The following is a 15,468-nucleotide window of genomic DNA, read 5'->3' on the forward strand; positions in this document are numbered from 1 at the left end:
GTTTTAAGAACTATGGGGCCGGGTGCGGTGGCTCACGTCTGTTATCCTAGCACTTTGGGAGGCTGAGGCAGGCAGATAACCTGAGGTTGGGAGTTGGAGACCAGCCTGACCAACACGGAGAAACCCCATCTCTACTAAAAATGCAAAAAATTAGCCAGGCATGGTGGCACGTGCCTGTAATCCCGGCTACTTGGGAGGCTGAGACAGGAGAATCACTTGAACCTGGGGGAGCAGAGTTTGCAGTGAGCTGAGATCACGCCATTGCACTCCAGCCTGGGCAACAAGAGTGAAACTCCATCTCAAAACAAAACAAAACAAAAAACTATGACTATGGTACACCTGTTATTAGATTCTAGTCTCATCAATTGTTTTTGAGGGTTTTTTTCTGCAATTTAGACTGATCCTGCTTACTTCTGTGAACCAACCAGTGATCTCTGGCTACAGCTCAGATGAAATAAGAGGCATGGGTAATGTAAAAATCTGGATCAATATTCTAATTCCGGGCACATATTGGAATCAGCTAGCAACCCCAGGCACCCAAGTCTTACCAGGTATGACAATAGCCATGAGCTACCTGGGCATGTTGGCAGCCTCAGGATTTTTTGAAGCTGTCCTCACCGACTTATTTCATTTGGACATCTCTACTTGTCTTAAAACCCAAGGAGCCATCTATATTTGTGGCCAATCAGTTCACCAATGCCTCCCCACTAACTGGAATGAAACTTGTACCATAGGCTATGTATCCCCAGACGCCTTCATAGTCCCTGGCAATCTCTCTCTTCCAGCACCAATCTACAGGCATCCTATCTTGCCCAAGGTGAAGAGGGCTATCCAATTAATTCTGCTTCTTGTGGAACATGGCATTATACCCTGTATGGAAATCAGAATTGCTGGAATCACAAAAGTCTCCTTGATCTATAGCCAACTCACAAAGGAAATAGCCGACAACATTGAGGCTAAAATTTTAACAACAGTGTAAGAACAAATGGACTCTTTAGCAGCTGTAGTCCTCCAAAATCTCCAAGGACTATGATATGTTAATGGAAGCACAGGGAGGAATTTGCTTAGCCTTAGATAACAAATGTTGCTTTTGGGTAAATGAATTGCCAAAAGTACAAGACAACATCAGACAACTCCTATACTGAGCCTCTAGTTGATGGGAACAAGCATCTCAGGGTTTGTTAGATTAGGAAGCAACATGGAAATGGTTCTCTGGGTTTTTCCCTTTTTAGGTCCACTTGTTAATCTCCTACTTTTGCTCCTTTTTGGTCCATGTCTTCTAAATCTAATCACCTGATTTGTCTCCTCTCACTTTGGGGCTGCCAAGCGCCAGATGATCCTTGGTGAGGGATACCATCTCCTCAATGATCAAGAGTCACCCTTCTACAGAAGATCAGTAGACTGCCCATCAGTGGGACACGGCAGAGGTGAATTCCCTGTCTCTGCTAGATCTGGCTGGATACTGTTTTCATCAGTCTATGGAGTCACCCTGCCCTGACAGCTAGCAAGAGGCCAAAACCCACAGAACAACCACCACCACCCCTCTGCCAGCAGGAAGCGGCTACAGAAGACTGACCTTCATCCATTTTTTCCAGAATTGGGTCTAGAATCTCGAGGGGGGAAATGTTACAGTAGGTAGTTAGACAGACATGAGCAGGGAAGGAGAGGCCCCCAACACCACCAGGACTGTCAGACAACCATCAGGTGATGGTTAGGTGGTTGTTAAACTGTCTCTCTAAAATACTAATTGGTCACAGCTGGCACAAGGGAACGGCCGTCTCCCAATAGATACAAAACACCTGAAGCTGGTGATTAGCTGCATTAGCAGTTTCCTGATAAGATCTCAGGAGTTGGGTGAATGAGCTCAAGCATGCCTACTAAGAGGCAAAATGGCAGAGTTTAACTGGTATATGACCTTCCTCTAGGAACATTCCACTGGTAAGTGAAAAACACTTCAAGTGAGCATGCATACAACTTCAGTAAACACACTGTGCATGCAGACCCTCCCAAGTGCTGGTAGGCCACTCTGCATGGGGATATCCCACCCCAAGGGAAGAATAAGGGAAAGAGAGACACAACCCTCCAGAATCATGCCAATGTACAAAACCCCAAGTCAAAGGGCAATCTCTCAAGTTTCCTGCTTGGCCCTTTTCCAAGTGTACTTTACTTCCTTTCATCCCGCTCTAAAACTTTTTAATAGACTTTCACTCCTGCTCTAAAACTTGCCTTGGTTGCTCACTCTGCCTTCTGCCACTCAGATGAATTCCTTCCATCAAGGAGGCAGGAATTTAGTTGCTGCAGATCCATATGGATTCACCGCTGGTAACAGCATCATGAAAGATAGTCATTTTGATGGAGGAGGAAGGAGAGATGTATTCCTATCAATAGCCCTACAGTTACCAGTCACTGAGTAAAAAGTGAAGAGTTAATATTAATGCAAGAATCCAAAGTATTTGCAAGGAAGTAGAATAGGAGGAACCTGTTTTCACTGGGATGGGGGTGGCGGGCAAATGTCCAAATTAGTATGGCCACTTTGGAAAACAGTTTGGCCTTATCCAATAAAGTTGAACATGCAACTCTTGCCCTGCAATTCCACTACTACATAGCACTTTGCGCATGTGTCCTGGAAGACAGGTAAATATTGATCAAGGCAGCAAAACTGAAAGCAATCCAAATGTACATTAACAGAAGAATGGAGAAATGATATGCGCTACAGCCACTACAGTGGAATACTGCACAGGCTCCATGCTCCAACATGCAGAAAAGTCACAAACAAGGTGTGGAGATCCAGAAGAACAGTAGGGCATAAAAAGCTTGCAAAACTATTCCATGTAATCTGTGCAAATACAAAGAATTGAAGCAGACTACAAAGAAAGGCAATTGATTGAAAAACATAAAATTCTGGATAGTGGTTGCCAAGGTGGGTACAGAGAGGTCTGCAAAAATAATCACAGAAGTTTGTTTCTGGAGCTGAGCAATGGCTACACTGGGATGAGTTCTGGAGTTAGTTCTCTTTCTGCATAACATATATGTGTTTATATGTACTTTCATGTTGGCTACTGTATTTCTTTTTTTTTTTAGAGACAAGGTTTTTCTCTCCATCGCCCAGGCTGGAGTGCAGTGGTGCTATCACAATTCACTGCAGCGTTGACCTTCCGGACCCAAGTGATCCTCTCACCTCAACATTCCAAGTAGCTGGTACCACAGGTATGTGCCACCATACGCGACTCATTTCAATTTTTTTTTTTTTTTTTTTTGAGACAGAGTCTCACTCTGTTGCCCAGGCTGGAGTGCAATGGCATGATCTCAGCTCACTGCAACCTCCACCTCCCAGGTTCAAGTAATTCTCCTGCCTCAGCCTCCTGAGTAGCTGGGATTACAGGTGCGTGCCACCACGACCAGCTAATTTTTGTATTTTTTAGTAGAGACAGGTTTTCACCATGTTGATCATGCTGGTCTTGAACTCCTGACCTTGTGATCCGCCTGCCTTGGTCTTCCAAAATGCTGGGATTACAGGCGTGAGCCATCGCACCTGGCCTAATTTTTGTATTGTTAATAGAGATGGGGTTTCACCATGTTGGCCAGGCTTGACTCGAACTCTTGGCCTCAAGTGATCCATTTGCCTTGGCCTCCCAAAGCGCTGGGATTACAGGCATGAGCCACCATGCCCAGCCTCATTTTTTTTTAACCTTTATTTTGTAGAGACAGGGTCTCCCTATGTTGCCCAGGCTGGTCTCAAACTTTTGGGCTCAAGTGATCCTCCTGCTTCAGTCTCCTGAATAGCTAGGACTCCAGGCATGCACCACCATAACTGGCTACTTTTATTTTTTGGAGAGATGAGGGTCTTGCTCTATTGCCCAGGCTGTTCTCAAACTCCTGGTCTCAAGTAATCCTCCTGCCTCGGCCTCCCAAAGTACTGGGATTACAGGTGTAAGCCACTTCTCCCAGTCCTATATTTTATTTTTTTTTTAATGGAGAAAAAAACTCACAGACAGAGACCTTGGCTTCCCATGATAATTCATCAGAACCTGGACCACAGTGCTTCTTCATCTTTCTCTAGACAAGCTTTCTGCTAAAATCAACTTAGGAAAAACTTGCCACATTCAGACATAAAAGTTAGCAAGAAAGAATGACCTGGAGAGAAGTACAAAAATCATACAAAAAGAAGAATTGAAAAGAAAAGAAAAAGCAAAGCAAGGCTTATGGAGAACATTCACCAGAAAAGCACTGCCATAGCCTTGACAACATGGCAAAACCCCATCTCTACAGAAAATACAAAAATTAGCCAGGTGTAGTGGTGCATGCCTGTGGTCCCAGCTACTCGGGAGGCCTGAGCCCAGGAGGCAGAGGTTGCAGTCAGCCAAGATCATGCCACTGTGCTCCAGCCTGGGGCAACAGAGCAAGACCCTGTCAAAAAAAAAAAGAAAAAAGAAAAGAAAAGAAAGAGAGGAAGGGAGGGAGGAAAGAAGGAAGGAAGGAAGGAAGGAAGGAAGGAAGGAAGGAAGGAAGGAAGGAAAAGCATTGCCTTAGAGCAAAGACAACTGTGACCCGAATTGTTGCAACAAATTATGATGTAATAATCCTGAGATCTAGCCACTTACAGAACAGAAGGGAAGACAGCAGGCTGCCTTGAAATCGAGCTGGCAGATGTGGGTCATTGGGGGATGGGTATAATATGAGAGAAGCTCCTTGTGGCTCAGCTCAGAAAGGTTTGCATGTGTAATACCAATTATTCCGGAGGCTGAAGCAGGAGCCTCGCTTGAGCCCAGGAGTTTGAGGCTAGCCTGGGTAACACAATGACAGCACCCCTTAAAAAAAATGGCTGGGCGCAGTGGCTCACACCTGTAATCCCAGCACTTTGGGAGGCTGAGGCGGGCAGATCACCTGAGGTCAGGAGTTCGAGACCAGTCTGGCCAACATGGTGAAACCCCGTCTCTACTAAAAATACAAAAATTAGCTGGGCGTGGTGGTGCACTCCCAGCTACTCGGGCGGCTGAGGCAGGAGAATAGCTTGAACCTGGGAGATGGAGGTTGTGGTAAGCTGATATTGCACCACTGCACTCCAGCCTAGGCAACAGATCAAGACTCTGTCTCAAAAAAAAAAAAAAAAAAATGAGACAGAGAGGAGAAAATGGCATCCTGGCCGGGCGCGGTGGCTCATGCCTATAATCCCAGCACTTTTGGAGGCCGAGGCGGATCACCTGAGGTCGAGAGTTCGAGACCAGCCTGACCAACATGGAGAAAACCCATCTCTACTAAAAGTACACAATTAGCTGGGCGTGGTGGCGTATGCCTGTAATCCCAGCTACTCAGGAGGCTGAAGCAGGAGAATCGCTTGAACCTGGGAGGCGGTGGTTGCAGTGAGCTGAGATCGCTCCATCGCACTCCAGCCTGGGCAACAAGAGTGAAACTCTGTCTCAAAAAAGAAAAGAAAAGAAAAGAAAAGAAAAGAAAAGAAAATGGCATCCTAAGGGGCAGGTACTGGGGACAGGCAAGGGGAGGAATTTGCCGTTTCCTGAAATAAAACCTCTTAGAAGTTGACTGTTCAATTCATGCAAAATCTGAATAAGATATCAAAATGATAGAAAGGAACCTCTTTCCTGATCATCACCCAATGCCTGTCACACAGCACCCGGTACTGAGAGACGCTCCTCCCCCTTGTCCTGCTCCCTTCTAGGACACCCCACCAGCACAAAGTTTTCCATTGTCAAGGCCCATGTGTGTCTTCCTGGGGCTGATCCTAGTGTTAGAATCAAGGATACAGGAACGTTCTCAGCCCCCTTAGCCATGACTCCACCTGCTGTCCTCCCAGTGTCCTATATTCCTCAGGCTCAGAGCCCCAGGCCCCAGCACCTCACCTTTCTTTGTTGAAGTCCCCAAGGCCTGACCATTCACCTGGGGACTCTGCTCTCTCTGTTCCTGCTCATCACATCTGGGCTGTCAACCTGTGGCCGTGTTACCCAATCTGAGCCTCAGGTTTGTCTCTTGTGCAAACTTAGGACAGGGAATAGAATAGGCTCATGATGGACAGGCGGAGGTGAGATGGGGTGAGAGAAACGCAAGAGCCAAAAGGAGGAAAAAACTCAACGAAGGGGTTCCTCTGAGACTGAGAGGTAGGCAAAGGCAGGTTGAGAGTCAGTTCCCGGACTCAAGTACCTGAGGGAAGGGCAGTGAAGTCATGAAGATCCCTTTGTGACACCAACATACCAGGAGGTAAAGCCAGAGACTGGCCAGGCAGGCTCAGAAAGGAATAAAAGGCCAGTTGCTTGGCAACCAAACTAGAACAGCAACAGAAAGATCGGAGGAAAATCTCCAAAGCACTTAGAAACTAGCCAATGTATGCTAAATAATCCATGGATCAAAGAGGAAGTCTCAAAGGAAATTTTTAAAATAGAATAAAACGAATGAAACTGAAAACACAACATACCAAAATTTGTGAGAACAGTTAAAGCAAGGCTAAGAGGAAAATTTGTAGCACTAAATGCATACCTCAGAAAAGAGGAAAAGTCTCAAATGAAAAACTTAAACTCTCCTTCAAGAACTTAGAAAAACGACCAAATACAGTGGCTCATGCCTGTAATCCCAGAACTTTGGAAGGCTGAGGCAGGAGAATCACTTGAGCCCAGGAGTTTAAGACCAGCCTGGGCAACACAGTGAGATCTCATCAATATTTATGTTATTTAAAAAAAAGAAGAACTTAAAAAAAGAGAGCAAAATAAGCCTAAAACCAGCACAAGAAAGGAAATAATAAAGAGCAGAAATCAATGAAATGAAAAACAGAATAACATTAGAAAAAGTTGGTGGAGTCAAGAGTGTGTTCTTTGAAAAGATCTGTAAAACTGACCAAGCTCTGACAAGACTGACGAAGAAAAAAATTACTAATATCGCTTATAGATTTTAGAAATTATAGTACACAGTTACCAATATCAGGAGTGAAACAGAGGAAATCACTACAGACGCTGCGGACATCAAAAGGATAACGAAATGCTACAAACAACTCTGCATACATAAATTTGATAACTTAGATTAAATGGACCAATTCCTTGTAAAGTACAAACTACCGCAACTCACCTAATTGAAATAGGTAATTTGGATAGCTGCATAACTATTAGAAAATTGAATTTTTAGTTAACTTCCTGAAAAAGAAATCTCCAACCCAGATTGTTTCACTGGAGAATTCTATTAAAGATTTAAAGGGGAGTTAAGACCAACTCTACAGAAAATAGAAGGAAAAGGAACCCTTCCCAACTCATTCCAGAAAGCAGGTATTACCCTCATACCAAAGCCAGACAAAAACAGTGTAAAAAGACCGGGCACAGTGGCTCACGCCTGTAATCCCAGTACTTTGGGAGGCTGAGGCGGGTGGATCACCTGAGGTCAGGAGTTGGTGACCAGCTTTGCCAACATGGTGAAACCCTGTCTCTACTAAAAAGACAAAATTAGCTGGGCATGGTGGCACCTGCCTGTAATCCCATCTACTTGGGAGGCTGAGGCAGGAGAATCGCTTGAACTTGGGAGGAGGAGGTTGCAGTGAACTGAGCCGAGATTGTGCCACTGCTCTCCAGCCTGGGTGACAGAGCAAGACTCCATCTCAAAACAACAACAACAAAATTAAACATGCAGCCGAGCACAGTGGCTCATGCCTGTAATCCCAGCACTTTCGGAGGCCAAGGTGGGAGTATTGTTTAAGCCCAGGAGTTTGAGACCAGCCTGGGTAACATTGGGAGACCCCCTATCTCTACAAAAACTTTTAAAAATAAGCCAGGTGTGGTGGCCTCCCAGCTGCTCTGGAGGCTGAGGAAGGAGGATTACTTGAGCCCACGAATTAGAGACAACCGTGAGCTATGATCATGTCACTGCACTCCAGCCTGGGCAACAAAGCAAGAACCCATCTCAGAAAGAAAAAAAAAAAAATAAAAGCTAAACATGCAACTACCATATGACCTAATACTTAACTGTTCTCGGAATTAGCCAACAGAAATGAGAACTTAGTTCACACGAAAGCCCGTAGACAAGTGTTTATAGCTGATTTATGCATAATAGTCCCAAACTGGACACAACCCCAATGCCCTTCAGTGTGTGAATGTCCAGAGCAGCCTGGGGACTGACACTGCCACGCTCTTACTTGGAATGTGTGTAGCTTTCCAGAGAATGAGTTAAGGTGTGTGTTGAGGGGCTGGGAGCGAGCAGTGCTGGCACACCAGCAGAACTGAGGAGTTCAGTCTAGAGTTGGTACATCTTGAGCTGAATCTCTAAGGCCTTCAGTTTCCTAGATCTGCTTCCCTCGGAAGCACTTAGGAAACAGGGCCTCCCTCCACAGGACAGCCCCCCGGGTCTGCAAAGGGGCATGTGTTTCCTCCTTAGGCACGGATGTGCCTTGTCCTCTCTTCTCCCACACTTAGAGTAACCTGTGAATAATTTGATGGGTGAAATAACCCACTGTCTGGGACACCATTTTTGGTGTGGCTTTATGGGTGCCTATGTACCGTGTATATGTATGTAACATGTAACCCTGCTCAAAAAGGTTAGAACTCACCCAGTCAGCTAGCGACTCCAGAATAATCAGATACATGTTCCCCCAAGGTACCACAAGATGGCAGCACATGCACACAGCATTTCAAGCTCCTGCACACTGAGATGACAGCAATTAATCTGCCCTCTAATAATGCCTCTGCCATCCTGGAAAGCCCTACACTTAAACGGTCATGATGCCTGTTTCTATGATGATGTGTTGCAAACACACGCAGCATTTCTGAGGTAGATGAAGAGATTCAAAGGGTAACAGGAGATTATGTAGTTCAGAATTCTTCACCTTTTTTTAAAAAAAATATTTATTTATTTATTTATTTATTTTTAATAGAGACAGGGTCTCACTATGTTGCCCAGGCTAGTCTTGAATTCCTGGGCTCAAGCGATCCTCCCGCCTCGGCCTCCCAAAGGGCCGGGATCACAGGCGTGAGCCACTGAGTGTGGCCAGAATTCTTCACCTTTTGGTGCAGAGTGTGTATGTCGCACCTGAAGCCAGAAGTCAACGATACTCGATGAAAGGGTTTGTTCAGCGCAGATGACCTACTTGGGTTCATGGCTTGCATGTGTTATAATTGCTGCTGTTTATTTCCTGAAAACTTAGACGATTTGGGGCACATTATCGATGCCTTACAGGCATGGTCGCATTAAACTTTACTGCAGCCATCTGTCATAGTGATTATTATCCTCATTTTACAGATGGGGAAAGAAAGAATTAGACCTTCAGGCACCTTGGTAATGGCACGCACAGCGAGTAGAGGCAGAGAGAACCTGCTTCCCTGACGGCCCACACTCCCCCGGCACACAAGGCTCCCTCTAGGTGGCGCGCGCGTCTCAGCTTCTACTGCGGAAGTCTCGGTTATGTGATTATGTATACGCTCAATCCTACACCAATTGAGAATGGCCCTTAGCTTGGAATTAGTAAGAACAGTAATTAGCAATTTATTGTCAGAAAAAAGTTCATAAGATTATCGGCCGCAGTCTCTTTGCTGCACATCTTTCTCATCTTGACAGGACAGCCACAGGGAATCCAGGTCTTCTCCACCACCCCAGGCTCAGCAGTTCATGCTTACCCACCCAGCTCAGGCACAGATGCGACATTCAGCTTAGCAACATTCAGCTTAGGATCGGGTAAACAGGCAGAGCTTTCTCTCTCTCTTTTTTTTTTTTTTTTGAGGCAGAGTCTCTCTCTTATTGCCCAGGCTGGAGTGTAATGGTGCGATCTCGGCTCACCACAACCTCCATCTCCCGCGTTCAAGCGATTCTCCTGTCTCAGCCTCCCGAGTAGCTGGGATTACAGTTATGCACCACCACACCTGGCTAATTTTGTATTTTTAGTGGAGATGGGGTTTCTCCATGGTCAGGCTGGTCTCGAACTCCAGACCTCAGGTGATCCACCGGCCTCGGCCTCCCAAAGTGCTGGGATTACAAGCATGAGCCACTGCGCCTGGCCTTTTTTTCTTTCTTTCTTTTTAATGTGGAAAATTCCAAATCCTATCAGAGCATATTTGGCATGTGATTTTTTTTTTTTTTTTTTTTTTTTTTGAGACAGGGACTCACTCTGTCGCCCAGGCTGGAGTGCAGTGGCACAATCACGGATCACTGGAGCATCAAACTCCTGGGCTCAAGCGATCCTTCCACCTCAGCCTCCTGATTACCTAAGACTATAGGCAAGCACCACCACAGCCCCTAGTTTTTATTTTTATTTTTTATTTATTTATTTTTTTGTAGAGACAGAGTCTCGCTTTGTTGCCCAGACTGGTCTTGAACTTCTGGCCTCAGGTGACCCTCTGGGCCTCCCAAAGCACTGGGTTTACAAGCATGAGCCACCATGCCAGGCCTAACATCTCTAATTTTTTAAAATTGTTTTTAACATAATGAGACCGAGCTTCACCATGTTGTCTAGACTGTTCTCAAACTCCTGGGCTCAAATGATCCACCCACCTTGGCCTCCCAAAGTGCTAGGGTTACAGGTGTGAGCCACCGTGCCCAGCCAGCATCTCTAATTTTTGACAAGCAGACTTTTGATATGTGATTTACCTAAGTTGTGTAAAGTTATATTCAACGTTATCTGCCTTTTACAAATCAGGAAAACAGGGTATCATTAACTTTCCTAAGTGATATATTCAGGGGGAAAATGAATTTAGCAAAGTGGAGGTCTTTTGTGTCCTTTTACAGATAGTAAAATAGCATCTAGGAGAATGGGAGGTTGAAGGGAACTGTCATAGATTTGGGGTCAACTGAGGCCAGTTAGTGGCCATGACCATGAGGGACCTTAGGTGCTGCTTGCTTTCCCCAGCCAGGTTCAGCTGTGTGGGTGCAGATTCAGACTTGGAGGTGAGATGAAAATAATAAGAGGGATGTGATGGAGCAAGACAGGGCAAGGGCCTTGAGCACACACAAGGAAGAGATTCCAGCAGCTGACAGTCTCATTACAGCTGGCAGGGCAGTCAGTGAGAGCATGAGATTAGGTGGATCATGAGCAGAGAAGCTGGGATGGATGCACTGGTGGCCTCAGCACAGGGAGGGTGCCAGGGGGAGTGAACAGTGGAGGGGAATGGGACTCATGTCATTTCCGTTATGGAAAGGGTGTCGCTATTTGATAGGAGAGCTCTGGGATATGACCATGGGAATGAAAGGCTGGGGAGATGACAGGATCACTGGCAGGAAACTGAGAGGCCAGTATTTTGGAAATATTATTTACAAAGCTACTGATATCACCAAGGACAGGAAAGTGTTAGAGAAAGTGGCAATGATTCAGAAAGTGAAATCTCCAAGGAAGAATGTTTGTACCCAGGCTTTGGTAGATGAAGGTAACCACAGGGTGTGGGAGAAACAGTTTGTTATGGGAAGGAGGAAGAATGTTCCAGGAAAGCAGCAATGACTGGCAGAAAAGACACTCACCCCACCCACCCCACCCTCAAGCCCACAGATACTCAAAAAGCACAGGGAAGAAAACATTCCCGTTTTGAGAGAGCAGTAGGGGAAGTGTGGTTTCACACAGAGCTGCAAAGTCCATTGTGGCAGCCACCAACCACATGTGGCTACCAAGCTCTTGAAATGCGGCTCCTGTGATCAGGGACTGAATTTTTAATTGAATTTAATTCAAATTAACTAGAAACTGAGGCAGTAGAAAATATTTTTCTGTTAATCACAGCTTTATTGGTTTGGTAGGACTTCATTTCACTTTAACCATTGAAAAGCCAAACTGGCCAGGTGCAGTGGCTCACGCCTGTAATCCCAACACTTTGGGAAGCCAAGGCAGGAGGATCACTTGAGGCCAGGAGTTCAAGACCAGCCTGGACAACATAGCAAGATCCCATATCTTAAAAAAAAAAAATTAGGCCCGGTGCGGTGGCTCACACTTGTAATGTCAGCACTTTGGGAGGCCAAGTCAGGCGGATCAGAGTTCAAGACCAGCCTGGCCAACATGGTGAAACCCCATCTCTACTAAAAATACAAAAATTAGCCAGATGCAGTGGCACGTGCCTATAATCCCAGCTACCCGGGAGGCAGAGGTTGTGGTGAGCCAGCATGGCGCCACTGCACTCCAGACTGGGCTACATAGTGAGACCCCATCTCAAAAATAAATAAATAAATAAATAAAATAAAACTAATAATAATAAATAAATAATTAGTTGGGCATGGTGGCATGCTTCTGTAGTCCCAGCTACTCAGGAGGCCGAGGCAGAAGGATCCCTTGAGCCCAGTAGATCGAGGCTACAGTGAGCTATGACCATGCTACTGCACTCTTGCCTTGGTGACAGAGCAGACTCTGTCTCTAAAAAAAAAAAAAAAAAAAAGAAGGGGTCTTTTCCATTCTGTCTTCCTTCCACCAGAGACCTACACACCACCATTTGTGCTGCCACCATGTCTCTAGTGATCCCTGAGAAGTCCCAGCATATTTTGTGAGTACTCAACACCAACATTGATGGGCATCGGAAAATAGCTTTTGCCATCATTGCCATCAAGGGCGTGTGTTGAAGATACGCTCCTGTGGTGTTGAGGAAAGCTGACATTGACCTCACTGAGAGGCCAGGAGAACTCACTGAGCATAAGGTGGATGTGTGATCACCACTATGCAGAATCCATGCCAGCCCAAGATCCCAGACTGGTTCTCAAACAGACAGAAAGATATAAAGGACGGAAAATATAGCCAGGACCTGGCCAATGGTCTGGATAACAACCTCTGTGAGAACCTGGAGCAACTGAAGAAGATTTGAGCCCAGAGAGGGCTATGCCACTTCTGGGGCCTTCATGTCCCAGGCCAGCACAGCAAGACCACTGGCCGCTGTGGCCATACCATGGGTGTATCTAAGAAGAAATAAGTTTGTAGGCCTTGTTTGTTAATAGTTTATATACCTAAACAAAATAAAATAAAAATTTAAAAATTAAAAAAAAGTCAAACTATCATGTGCTCTACACATAAAATACACACCAGATTTTAAAGACAGTATGGAAGAAAAAAGATGTAAAATACCTTTTAACATTTCTATATTTTCTGCATGTTGCAGTGTTTTGGGTTATATAAAATATGTTTTTTTGTGTTGGATTTATTGGGCTACATAAAATATATAGTTGAAATTAATTTCACCTGGTTCTTTTTACTTATTTTAATAGGGCTACTAGAAAATTTAGCTGGGTGAGGTGGTTCACACCTGTAATCCCAGCACTTTGGGAGGCCAAGGTGAGTGGATTGTTTGAGCTCAGGAATTCGAGAGTACCGTGGGCAACATGGTGAGATCTTATTTCTACAAAAAAATACAAAATTAGCTGGGCATGATGGCAAGTACCTGTAGTCCCAGCTACTCAGGAGGCTGAAGTGGGAGAATCACCTGAGCCTGGGAAGTTGGGGCTACAGTGAGCTGTGATCGTGTCACTGCCACAAAACAAACAAACAAAAAGAAAAGTTAGAATACATCTAGGGTTGCATTATGTTTCTATTGGGCAGTGCTAGCCTAGAGAAAGAAGATGAAGGGAATGTGTAGAGAGGAGAGGTGGATGAGGACATTTAGCTGATAATTCACCAAGCAGCACAGAGGAAAAGCTGCAGGGGATGGTGAGAGCTGGAAGAAGGGCTCAGAGAGGCAGAAGCACAATTGTATGGGACAAGTGTCTCAGGGCTGAGGGATCTCCAGGGAGTCCTGGGGTTTTCGTGGTGCCTGGAATAAGCAGAGATCAGAGTTATAAAGAAGTTAAGTCCTGATTTTCTCCGTGGTGACCAAGTAGTGACCAGAAGCAGGGAGGAGGTCCAGTTCTGGCCAGAGATTCCAATTCATGCTGGAGAAAAGAAATATTTTGAAAGAAGCACCCTACAGGATTTGCTAATGAATCGGAGGTTGGGAATTAAAGTAAAAGAATCAAGGGTGGGCCGGGTGCAGTGGCTCATGCCTGTAATCCCAGCACTTTGGGAGGACGAGGCATGCAGATCACTTGAGGTCAGGAGTTCGAGGCCAGCCTGGCCAACATGACGAAACCCTGTCTTTACTAAATATACACAAATTAGCCAGGCGTGGTGGCACTCGCCTGTAATCCCAGCTACTCGGGAGGCTGAGGCAGGAGAATCGCTTGAATCCAGGAGGCGGAGGTTGCAGTGAGCCAAGATCGTGCCACTGCACTCCAGACTGGGTGACAGAGCAAGACTCTGTCTCAAAAAAAAAAAAAAAAAAAAAAAGAAGCAAAGGTGACTAAAGATTTGACCTGAGAAACTGGAAGGATGGAGCGCCTGTTATGTGGAAGACCGCAAGTAAAATGTTTGAGAAGAAGGGGTTGCACATGAGTTCATACTGGGATATGTTAAGTTTGAGAGACCTGCTAGACCACCTGCTAGATTCTGAGTAGGCAGTTGTCTAATAGGGATCTGCAGTTCACAGGAGAGATGAGGCTGCAGGTATAAATCTGAGGGTCTATACCACATAGATGGTATTTAAAGCTATGCAACTTGACTTCTGAAATTAAAAGAATTATAGATCAATCCACAGTCATCTCCCTGTCGCTTGCTGAATAACAAAGGCATAACTAACAGCTAATTGATTCTTAAGGGTGCATTTTTTTGCAGATGTATATTTCTATAGACATTTGGCTCAATCTAATATTACAGTCAATGTGTATGCCCTAGACAAATACCAGCTGACAGAGTATAAGAATTCAGAAGCCAGACTGGGGTTTCTACATTCCATAATGTGGAAATCCTATAGCAGCTACTCATCAAAAGCTTTCTACCCTCTGCTCACAAGTTGTTCTTGCCTCATTGCAGACATTTCCCTACATACCTAGAATTTTGTTTACGATGAACAGAATGTTGGGTAAGAGTCTCTTGAGCTGAAACAGTTACACCCCCGCAGCTGGGAAAAGCTATTCCCTCTGCATTAGGCCAACGGGTGAGTAAGCAATTCTCTCATCTAGACCCACAGCATAGAGAACCCTGTACAGAAATTACCCAACAACATACACTGAAAAAATAAAAAGGTAGTGGGGGGAAATTGTGTCAAATGAATCCTTCTTCTCCTTTGTAGCTCCTTGGTTAGCTAAGAAAACACGAATAAACTCTTCATTACCACTGTTTAACCCTGGACTGGTTCTGCTTTCCACTTCCCTCAGGAAGCCCACACCTCCTGATACAACCCATACCACGGTTGCCTTCCCCTCCTGGATGTCACAGAGAAGGATTTAAAAATGACTCCCGGCCAGCATGGTGTCTCATGCTCAGCACATTGGGAGGCCTAGACGGGAAGATTGCTTGAGGGCAGCAGTTCAAGGCAAGCCTGGGCAACATAGGGAGACCCTGTCCCTATTATTTTTTTTTTTGATGTTAAAAAAAATTTAATTTAATTAAATAAAAATGGTTCCCAAGTCAAAGAGAATAAAGAACCACAGAAGTTAGGTGTTAGATGGTCATCACTGAATTACTGATTTTACTGACAAGGAAATTGAAACCCAGAG

General features: G+C 45.1%; 1 pseudogene, besides 2 other annotated features; it reads left to right on the plus strand.

Annotated features, from left to right (window-relative positions):
- Positions 8,379-8,920: an enhancer, noted in NCBI's record as "NANOG hESC enhancer chr20:5509506-5510047 (GRCh37/hg19 assembly coordinates)". NCBI's record gives its function as "activates a minimal SCP1, AML or CMV promoter by ChIP-STARR-seq in naive H9 embryonic stem cells {active_cell/tissue: H9 hESC(naive)}" and the evidence as "EXISTENCE:reporter gene assay evidence [ECO:0000049][PMID:30033119]".
- Positions 9,560-9,629: an enhancer, noted in NCBI's record as "active region_17519". NCBI's record gives its function as "activates an Ori minimal core promoter by ATAC-STARR-seq in GM12878 lymphoblastoid cells {active_cell/tissue: GM12878}" and the evidence as "EXISTENCE:reporter gene assay evidence [ECO:0000049][PMID:35858748]".
- Positions 12,397-12,854, plus strand: RPS18P1 (ribosomal protein S18 pseudogene 1; annotated as a pseudogene).

Source organism: Homo sapiens, chromosome 20, assembly GCF_000001405.40.
Source record: "Homo sapiens chromosome 20, GRCh38.p14 Primary Assembly".
In the NCBI taxonomy this organism is placed as follows: domain Eukaryota; kingdom Metazoa; phylum Chordata; class Mammalia; order Primates; family Hominidae; genus Homo; species Homo sapiens.